Raw genomic sequence first — 11155 nt, 5'->3', positions numbered from 1 at the left:
GCCTGTAGCACCTGTGGACAGAACAGATGTCAGCACCAGACAAAGTACTCAAGTAAAGGGATGCAGGTTGGAAGAGAGGGACACTCACTGAACTGTTACAGATCTCAGAGCAACAGTGACTCTGACTCAAAACAAAGCAAACATCCACCACAGTTAAATCAAATCCTTATTTCTTTGTGACTTCTCCTTTTACTATTTATGGTGGTTCACACACATGGTCTGGGAGGTGTAAACATCTTACCATATCTCCCATCATACATAGTTAAGCTTTCTTGGACTCAGTCATCATATTTATCCAAAAATTATTGACTTTCACCACTAGTATTGCAAGCAGCCCTAAAATTACAACTACAGCTCTGTATGGTGACAAGGAGCATGCACTTTCCCACTGTCTCCACATCAACAAGTGAGAAACACCTGGATCAAAATTGGCATAAACAATCAACATGACACTGGGTTTTGGAGTGTAATATGGACCTGATTTACTTCCAGCTGGGAAATAAATCTTTTGCCAAACTAAGTATATACTCACTCACACACTGGAGAAGAAATGAGAAACAGGGCACATGGTTAAATAGTTTAGTAGTTACAAAATTGTTGTTAGTAAAATGACTTACTGGATGATCTGTAAGTCTGGTGGCATCATGAAGACTTAGCCATCATTCGGGATATTCACCGCCTTGTGTGCAATTCAATCCCCCTAAGTCTTCTTGCTTCCACTAAAGTAGCCTCACCCTCCCTTTCATTTACTGCTGACCGGATCTTATGGGCCTTACAGTCATTCATTCCCCTCCTTTACCCTTTAGGCTGCCTTTAAAGCCAGATTCACTGCTTTATCTTGAAACCAAAGCCTTTTTTTGTTTTTTAAACCAATGTCAGCTTTACTTAAACTACCAAGGAGGATAATCTTTGTATTTTTCTCCTTGGAAGAACATTGAGTTCGAAATTAAGGTGCTTTGTTGCTAGTCACAGGAGTGCCATCTGCTAGTTTTGTTTGCTTTTATCTCCAGTTCCCTCCTCTTTGAAGTTGGAGTTAGATGAGATTGTTCCAAAAGTGCGTTATTCTGGATAATTTCTTTTTAATATGTGTTCTTATTAACTTGCCTTTTCTAACACAGCCTTCATTATTGTGACAAGAAGGTGAGTTTGACTATATTGGAGGGCTCTGTTCACCTATTTCCTCCATTTGGAAAATGATTCTGCTTTCTATTCTCCCTTTGTTTCTGGAGATAGATTCAATCATGAGCATCAGCGAACTTGCAGTGATAACTTTGTAAGAGATTGTTTCTGTTTCTCTATTGACGAATCAATTGATTAGTGAATCAGTCTTACATTTTAGAAGGCAAAATGTGTAAAAACTATGATCTTCTCTTTGAGTTAGCCATGCTTATTAAAGACATGGCTATTCATTTCATGTTGGCAAAAGTGTGCTTCACTAGATATGTCAGGTATTACAGAAAAAAAATAGGTACTGCTCACAGGAAATCCTGGGTTAAAGCAAGTAAAACAGGTTTGGGAAATGCTATAACCTCTAACTCCAAGTAGTGAATCAAAAGAACAGCAGCCTATTTAAGGAGCTGGAGAGTCCTACAGAAAAAAAAAAAAAAAGTAATCCATGTGAAGAAAACATGGAAAAACGTTGGTCTATAAATCCTCTCATACCCAGGAGGCACAGAGGCAAAAATGTAGTTCAAGAAATGATACAACACCATTTAAACATCTCCTCCAGTCGGAAGGAAAGCCACCACACTAGCAATGTTTTGGCATCTGGCCGACCCTCTCTCTCTGGGACTGTGTGAAAGAATTCACTCTGAGTTATGTGGTATGTCGCTAAGCATTGTAACATCAAATTTTTTGTGTAGACAGAATACAAATTAGAGTGGAAACAGACAATCATGGAATAAATGTTCTTAGCATACGAAGAGGGAAAGGATACTCATTGGTGCTGGATAATGAAACTAAAATTCCTGCAGCTAAGATGTGAGGGAGAGGAGGGGCCTTACAAGGCTCACCATCTTCATGTCCATCTGTGCTGTTACACAAGTCACAACATGTGATGGCCAGAATGCTGGGATTTTCATCCCTGGCTGGTATTTCCTTATTTTGCTATTAAAACACCTCAAAGTTGAAGAACAATGGTCAATATTTAGGCATATTATGAAATCACTTCAGTTCTTCTTGACTGGAAGTTTATTTATTTGGATTTGTTAAATTAATAATTTCTAAAGTTGGTACTCAACATTGTGTAAGCATGACTTTTGGAAATATTACCAAGCAACGTGTCATGAACAGCTAATAGAGGGAAATTATAGTTAAGTGAAGTCTCATTCATCTACTTATTAGAATAAAAGGAAATTAGGTAGTTCCCCAAGCAGAAAGTTTTGGATAAGAATTGTAGAGAACAAAATAGATCTGTCTATTAAAATATTCTTTTAGTAATATATTAATACTGAAAATTAGACACAGATCCTGGAAATAAATATAAGGTTGTATTCAACTTGTTAATATTGGTTGTATTTGTGTGTACTCACAAATATCCAATACATATTCTTTGTAATGTTGGTATTTTAATTTATTAACAAATGACTGGGCTTAATCTGACTGAAACTCACCTAAGTGTCTTCAAGCCAGTGTTGAGAATGGGCTCTCAGTAAAGGGATCTCCTCTATCTTCCAATTCAGCAGCTCACCTAACCCTATGCTCATCATCCTACAGCCCCCAACAGTTCTTTACAATTTTGCCCTTATTTTCATAATCACTGTTTGTGAACAAAATAATAAAGCAATTGGCCTACCCTACTCACTCTCCCATCCTCCACCTCACACCCAATAAATCAAATTTCTTTTTTCTTGTTTCTCAAATAGCAAGTTGGAATATCGTAGCAAGTTAATGAAAATATGACCAGAAAATCATCCAATAGTTCCAGTGTTGTTATTGTTGTGACCACTGTTGTTGTTTTAATCTGATAATTCCACTCACTTTATGTGGGACTATCCACAGATCACATACCAGACAAGAGAAGGGCCTGGGCCCAATACTTGAGGACCTACAGCCTTGTTGAGAGAAAGACATTTGTTCTCCATCCTCCTTAACTTTGTTTTGTTTTGTTGGATGATACCCTTTTCACATCTTTACTCAGGTGACAAATTTGGGAGCCCTTGTGACAGGCACCTACTTTCCTCCCTGGCCGCACCACCAAGTCAACATTGTGTTCTAAGCGTGCCTTTATTCCCATCTCTGGAAGCTGTTCTCCCTTCTCCGCCATTCTCTCTGCCTCGGTTCTGAGCCTCACTATTTCTGCTTGGACTATGGCAGGAGCCTCTACCCTTACATCCAAGCACACCCTAGGATCGCCTTTCTCCAATCCGTCCTTCAAAAATGCCTATTTGATTATTTTCCTCCCCTGCCAATGTCTTCAGTGGCCCCACCAGTGAGCAGTCATGGCCAGACCCCTCCAAGGAACTCTGATCCCCCCCATCCTTTTCCCTTATCTTGGTTAATCTTGCCACCATCCACCCAGGGTATCTGGACAAACCCATGACAGCCATCTTTGATTCCTCCTTTTCCTTCACCCTATTCACCCAGTCTATCAGCAAAACCTGAGGCTCTACCTCCAAAATACATTCAGAGCCCATTTGCCCCTCTTCAACTCCTAACTGGGCTCCGTGTTTCCATTCTTCTTCCACCCACAGTCCTTCCTCCATGCAGTCCCAGAATAAACTTAAGACCTCGATATGCCTCTCCTCCATTTCAGAGTTCTCAGGGATTCTCACTGCTTTTTGTGTCAAATACAATCTTAAAATGTCCATCTTGGTCCTTACCTGATCTTGTCCTGTTCCACTTTTGGAACTTCACTTCTACCTTTCAAAATGTTGCATTAGGCAAATTCTGACATAATGTAATACAAAGTACACTGCACTGTTCTCAGTGCTCTGGAAACACTGGCCTCTTATGCCTCCAGAATGGCAGATTCTTCCTGTCTTTGGATCTTTGCCCAGCTCTGCACTCTTAAAAAAGTTCTGCCCACCCAAACCTACCTCCATCTCATTCCCACCTCCCAAAATGTACATAGCTAGCAACACCTTAGCCACCACCTTTCCTCTCTGGGATGCCTTCTCTGTACAGTTCTTCTGACTCCCACCTTAGTCTATTGAAAGATGCTATTTATTTATTTATAGAAATGTCATTATCTGAAATTAAGTTATTCTCATGTTTGTTTATTTATGTATTGACTATTTCCTACTCAGTAATGCAAGTTTCTTAAGGACAGGGAATCTACTTTGTTCTCAGCTATGCTTAGAATTAGGGCTGGTATAAGCTTAGGGCACAAAAATATTTGTCAAAAAATGAATGAATATTATCAAACAATGCAAATTTACCAATATGGCAGGATAAAAACAGTATCTTAGTATTTTGATTTGCTCTGTGATTATTCTTGAAACTGAGCCTTTTTCATACTCTTATTGACAATTATTTTCCACTTGTCTGTTAATATCCTGTTTACATCCTTTGCTTACTTTTTTATTAGTTGTTTTTCTTTCTTTTACTAATTTGCAGTTACTTATGTCTTAGATTGTTTGTCCTACATTTTGAAAACATTTTCTCCTAGTGTGTCCTTTGTTTTAACTTTATTTAGGGGTGGGTATGTGTCATTACAAAACTTCATATGTTGATGTGATAAAATATATCCATTTTCTTTCTTAAAAATACATAAAACGCAAAAGCAGCAAAGACTTCATATTCCTTGAAACATAAACTCCCACTTGAACACATTAGTCAGTATTAGGATTCATAAAAGTGTCACAACTGCATATTAGGTAAGTTCTGGTGTGATATAATATGAAATACACAGCACAGTTATGATGCATTCTTGCAAAAATTAAAAAAAATAAAGAAATGTGTATTTAATGAGGTCATTACATCCAATCTCCAGCCTTTCGGATGTATCAGGGATGTGGGAACAGGTACAATGACACCATGGGGCACAGGCAGGTAAACCCAGACTGTGACATTCTATGGGCCCAGTGACTTCAACAAGACAATTGCATGAGAGAAAGGAAAGAGGAGGGGAGAAGGGGACAATTTCAGGTGAAAAGAGACTTAAAAGATAAAACAAATATAGACAAGTAGTAGCCTCTTAAAAATCTTCATTCAAACAAACTATAAAATGGCATATATGAACAATTAGAGAAAACTGAAAACATCAGACAGCAGATAATATCAAGGAATTTTAAAATTTTATTTAGAGTCATATGGCATTGTGAGGACATCCTTTTTTAGATACATATTAAATATTCAGGAATGAGAATATATAGAGTTTTCTTTAAAATATCGTATTTTGATGTTGAATTCCAAAAAAGTGTTAAAATTTCTTACCTATAATTTTAGAATTAGAAATTTCTTATTATTCTTGATAGTTTTGTTTTATATTATTTGAACCTAAAAAGTTCCATGAGTAATACATCCTCTTGATACAGTGTTCCTTTTATCAGTGTGAACTATTACGTGCTTTCTAAAGGCTTTTTGTTTAAATGCTATTTATTTATCTGGCATCAGTAAAACCTGCTTTTAGTGTATGTTTCACAGATTTTTTTCTATTTATTTTCAACATTTCTCTTTATTTTGTCTCGCCCATGTGTGTGTATGTGTGTGTGTGTGTGTGTGTGTGTGTGTCTATGTAACAAGATGTGCCCAGATTCTTTTTTTCTTTTTTTAAAAATCCTATTTTTGACTTCCAATAGGTCAATTTTATCCCTTCATATTGGGTGTGATTACTAATTTATTTGGACATATTCATATAATCTCATTTTTCAGTTTTCTTTTTACAATGCTCAATGGAAACATGCAGGCTTTTATTGGATTTATCAAGTTCTCTTACGTTTTATATATTTTTTGCAGTGTTGTGGAAATTATACATATAATTTCTATTATTTAGTGAATATTCTTTTTTTCCTCTTGCCTCTTTAGTGATTACTCTTATAATAATTTATATTGTGTTTAAACGTACTATAATGTTATTTTTATCAATGTCTGGAATTAGTTTTCTCTCCCAAGTAAGACCTCAGCAGGCCAGGTATGGTGACTCAGGCCTGTAATCCCAGCACTCTGTGAGGCCAAGGTGGGAGATCACTTGAGCCCAGGAGTTTGAGACTAGCCTAGGCAACAGAGTGAGACCCTATCTTTAAAAAAATTTAAAAATTAGCTGGGTATGGTGGTGGCGAACACCTATAGTCTTGGCTATGCAGGAGGCTGAGGTGGGAGGATGGCTTGAACCCAGGAGGTTGAGGCTGCAGTGAGTTATGATGGTGCAAAAACAAAACAAAACAAAAGAAACAAACAAGGAAACATCAGTAGAACTTAATTTTCCTCCCTTCTTCCCATGCCTACTACTTGTTGAGGTCATCTAGAAGTGCTGACCAGTACAGAAGGCTACTGAATATCCCAAATATGCCTAGTCTGAATGGAGAGGTGCTCTAAGTGTAAAATACATGCCAAATTGCATTGTTTAAATATTGATTATATCTTGAAATAGTATTTTAGATATATTGGTTTAAATAAAATATATTAAATATTTTATTTTATTTTATTTTATTTTATTATTTTATTTTATTTTATTTTATTGACGGGATCTCACTCTGTAGCCCAAACTGAAGTGCAGTGGCGAGATCTTGGCTCACTGCAACCTCCGTCCCCGGAGCTCAAGCGATTCTCGTGTCTTAGCCTCCCAAGTACTTGGGACTACAGGCAAGTGCCACCACGCCCAGCTAAGTTTTTGTATTTTAGTAGAGACGGGGTTTCACCATGCTGGCCAGGCTGGTCTCAAACTCCTGAGTTCAGGCTATCCGTCCTCCTCAGCCTCCCAAAGTGCTGGGATTACAGGCATGAGCCACCGCGCCCCGCCTCATTTCCCTTTGTTAAAGTTGTTATTGAAAATTTGAAATTACAAATTTGGCCCACGTTATTTTTCTATGGGTCAGAGCTGCTGTAGGATTTTAGTTCTGCCTTGGTATTAGTTCTTTTGGAAACAATAAACAGACCTTCCTCCTTTTACCATTTCTTGTGTTCCATTTTGTTTCCCCTCTTTGTCTCTGCTTTTTTGGTTCACTGTTTAGCCCTTGAATTATACTGTCAAGTAGGTAGAAAATTCTGGAACTCTGATGCAATTGCTACCTCATTTTCAGTTTCTTGCTTTCTCTGTAGGCAATCTGTTTTTCTTTCTAGAAGATTTTAGGAATTACTCTTGACTCTTAGCGTCCTTCAGTTTCCCTCAAAATGGAGTGTTCCTCCATTTTCATCCCTACCGTTTTACTCTCATAAAACTTCGAAACTTCGTGTCTTTTTTGTTAAACTCTGGAAGAACTTTTTGCACTATCTTTTTGTCCGTCTTTTGCCTTCCACGAGATCTATTTTTTCCATTCTTTCCTTTGTGTCTCCTTTTAAAGGAAATTGCATCTTTTGGATCCATTGCCGCATTTAAACTTTCCTTTATGCCTTCTCTATGTTCATCTTTCCTCCGACTCATGCTCCCAGCTCACTCATTCCTGCGTTTATTCCATCTGTTCTTCTATTTAGCCCGTCTGCTGTATAGAAGAGCTGGATTCTCATTTTAAAGTCTGCGTTTGGTTCTTTTCCATAACAGCCCACTCTTGTGTCACAGAAGTGATCTCTTCACTTGTCCTGCTGAATATGTTAATTTTACCCTCATAAATGAGCCAGCTTTCAGTTACAGATTCTGTCTGCAGAGTTTGGTGTCTTTCTTTCTTTCCTTCTTTCTTTCTTTCGTCTCTCTCTCTCTTTCTTTTTCTTTTTTCTTTTTTTTTTTTTTTTGTTTGTTGATGGAGTCTCGCTCTGTCGCCCAGGCTGGAGTGCAGTGGCGCGGTCTCGGCTCACTGCAAGCTCCACCTCCAGGGTTCTCGCCATTCTCCTGCCTCAGCCTCCCAAGTAGCTGGGACTACAGGCGCCCACCACCACGCCTGGCTATTTTTTATTTTTTTATTTTTTTAGTAGAGATGGGGTTTCACCGTGTTAGCCAGGATGGTCTGGATCTCCTGACCTCGTGATCCACCCGTCTCGGCCTCCCAAAGTGCTGGGATTACAGGCGTGAGCCACCACACGTGGCCCAGAGTTTGGTGTCTTTCTAGTGACAAATGAGACCAAAGCCACCATCACTCCCAAAATGAATAAACTGTGGCAAGTCATGTTCCACAACACAGACACTCAGATCACCAATCTCCAGCTTGTTCAGGAGCAGGTGCTCAAGATAAGACCACAGGCAAATCTTTGTCACCCCTCTGTCGGTCCCTCAGAGCTTGGGACCCTAAAAAGGAGCTTGGTCTCTGTCTTGCAACAAAGCCCCCTGCCTTTGCTTTGGGTAGCACTCCCCACTTTCATATGACTTTATCTTTACTAGGATTCCTCAAAACTTCAGATGCACTGAGGTTTCCACTTTTATTTTCTAATACTATTATATGTTTAAAAACAAAAAAACCCACTGTCTATTCTGTCATTTTTAGGTTGAAGGGCAGGAATTGGATGCCATTCTCCACCTTCTCCACATTGCCAACTGCTGTTCATCCTTCAAAACCCATCACAGGATAGACTCTTGCCAAAAACCTTTCTCAGTTTCTCTAGGTGGATTTAACCTCTCGTCTCTGTGCTACCTGAATATAACATACCTATTTTTAATTGCTATTTTTAATTTCTTTATTGTTTTAGTTCATCCTATCCTATTTTAACACGTTCATTTGCACAGATTTTTTTTTCTTTACTAGAAAGTATATTTATTGAATAAGCATATGACGACATAATCATTTCATTTTCTTTATGTGGGCACATTATCTAGCTCAGATTGGGGGATGAGCTGGAGTATTTGCACTATGCCCCATAAATACGTACACTTATTATGTGTCAATCATAAGTTTAAAAACTCCGGAGTATCTGACACTTTTGGTTCCTTTCCACCACTGTGGCACAGGGGAGCAGCAGGCATCTGCCTTGTGGCATGAGGGGCCCCATCCTGGAGACCGCTTCATAGTCTGATGCCATGGGAATTGGTCACTCTATTTTGAGTGTGCAATCCAACCTATAGCTTCTCTACTATTTCATTCCTTTCATATTATTTGAAATGAAGGGCATGGATGTTTCATTCTGTTTTAAGAAAAGAAACCATATTCTTCCCCTTATATGATAATGAGCTTCCTTTTAAAGGTAAAAATATCTGCTGAAAATTTCAATAACATATTCCACCACCACCACCACCACCATAACACTGATTCTCTCTCTTTGTCTCTCTTCTCTGCTTCTCTTCAAATTGTGGAAATATTAAGCGAGAAAGCATCCAAAAACAAAGCATTCTGAGTACTATCCTGATTTGTCCTTATCTGCAATATATATGCAAGCCAGACCAAGTTGATAAACACAGACAGCCCACCTGACTTCAAAAAACAAACAAATAAATATACAGGCAGACGTTGATTTCCCTGTGGAAATTTTACAGGGGAGTTAAGTTATGGAGTGTACACAGACCTGAAATTGTCATGCAAACTGGGTTGGCAGGGATTTCAGTGTCTATATGTGGGTTGAGTAAACCAGTTCAAATAAGGAAACCCTGGGACTAGATGTTTGAATAAAAGCAGCTGGAAACTTAGAGTTGAGATGTTCTCCCTTTATCTGTCCATATGCATCCACTATTTCTGGTTGCTTTTGCTTTTAGCAAGAGAAATTTACAAGCCACTGTGAAAATGATTGCTAATGGTATCTGGATCTGGTTGAGGAGAGAATGTTACATATCACATCCAGGCTTTCCTGAGATCAGAATTCAAATCCAGTTGTCCATTTGGGAGGTGGCTCCAAGAAGCACTGGGAGGTGCATGAGGAAGGGAAACGGCTAGTACAGGGAGTGTTACCATGAAAATTATCACTGTGGGTCCTGGGAGCCTCATTCCACCCAGGGCCTGTAGGGGCAGCACGGAACATATACTTCGAAGCTATCCCACTTGAGGAGTGAAGGAGTGGGGGCATTTATCCACCAACTCCTATCTGACATTGGCAAAGGGCTGCTCCAATTGGGTGTTAAATCCCAGAAACTCTGGTCTGCGTTGCCCAACAGACAGAGTGGGCCCCAGGACCCAAGGAAAGACCTGAGGCTTCATAGGGCCTGTCTGTGACTTCAGACCAGCATAAAAAACTGGGAGAAATTGCAGTAACAACACATTTTTTTTTTCCATTCAGACTAATTTTTATCATTTACAAAAAATTTTATCATTACAAAAAATTTATAGATAATTCATGTTTATTAATTTATCTGGAAATTTTTATGCCTAACCTCTAAGAAACAGTCACCTGTTACAGTTGTTCGATTTAAATCATCCATCCACGCATTCAATAAACTTTATGACTGTTGAGAAAGTTCTCATTTTAAAAGAAACTTCTCCAGGCAGAGAGAAAGACCAGGTGTGTGATCTTGGAGAAGCTCGAGGAACTGAGAAAGGAAAGGAAGGAAAGTAGCAGGAATTAGACGGGACAGGAAGTCACAGGCTTTGCCTTTTGTTTCTGCCTTGCTTCTGCCTGGGTTGCTGTTGGTAAATGCCTCCCTGCTCCGGGGCTCAGCCCCCTTATCCACAGATAGAAGGGCCTGTGCTAGATATTTTGACACTTTCTTAGTTTTCTTCCAGCTTCGACCTCCTGTAAATTCTATACTAAATGGCATTGGAAAAGAGGGGGTTACTTAGGTTAGATTAAGGCAGAGTGGAGCAGGGCTTATTGATTGTATCAATCATAGTAGCCAAGGATAGCCTCTGAGTAACCTTCCTTATTTTTAAAACTCCCTCTCCATGCACTTGTTGGGGAGGTTACCATTGTCCTTCCGTATTCAATGCTCCGTTCACATGGCAATATTGTTTGCTTACCAGTGGGCTATACCCTTGGGGTCTAGTACTTCGTGGGTATGCAGAAAATACTTGAGATTTTTTTTTTTTTTTTTTTTTTTTTTAGTTTTAGAGACACGAAAAGTGTTCTATTTAACCTTTAATCTATGCTTCAACTGTTCTCTGTTTTATTGACCCTCCTGTTTTCTTATTAACATTTTGGGTACATTCTATCACTTTCTGGTCAATTTTTTATTTTAATTTTTAATTGTAGTAAAAATACATAACAT

Source organism: Homo sapiens, chromosome 20 (assembly GCF_000001405.40).
Source record: "Homo sapiens chromosome 20, GRCh38.p14 Primary Assembly".
In the NCBI taxonomy this organism is placed as follows: domain Eukaryota; kingdom Metazoa; phylum Chordata; class Mammalia; order Primates; family Hominidae; genus Homo; species Homo sapiens.
The sequence above is the reverse complement of the archived record's forward strand: the minus strand, read 5'-3'. Positions refer to the sequence as shown.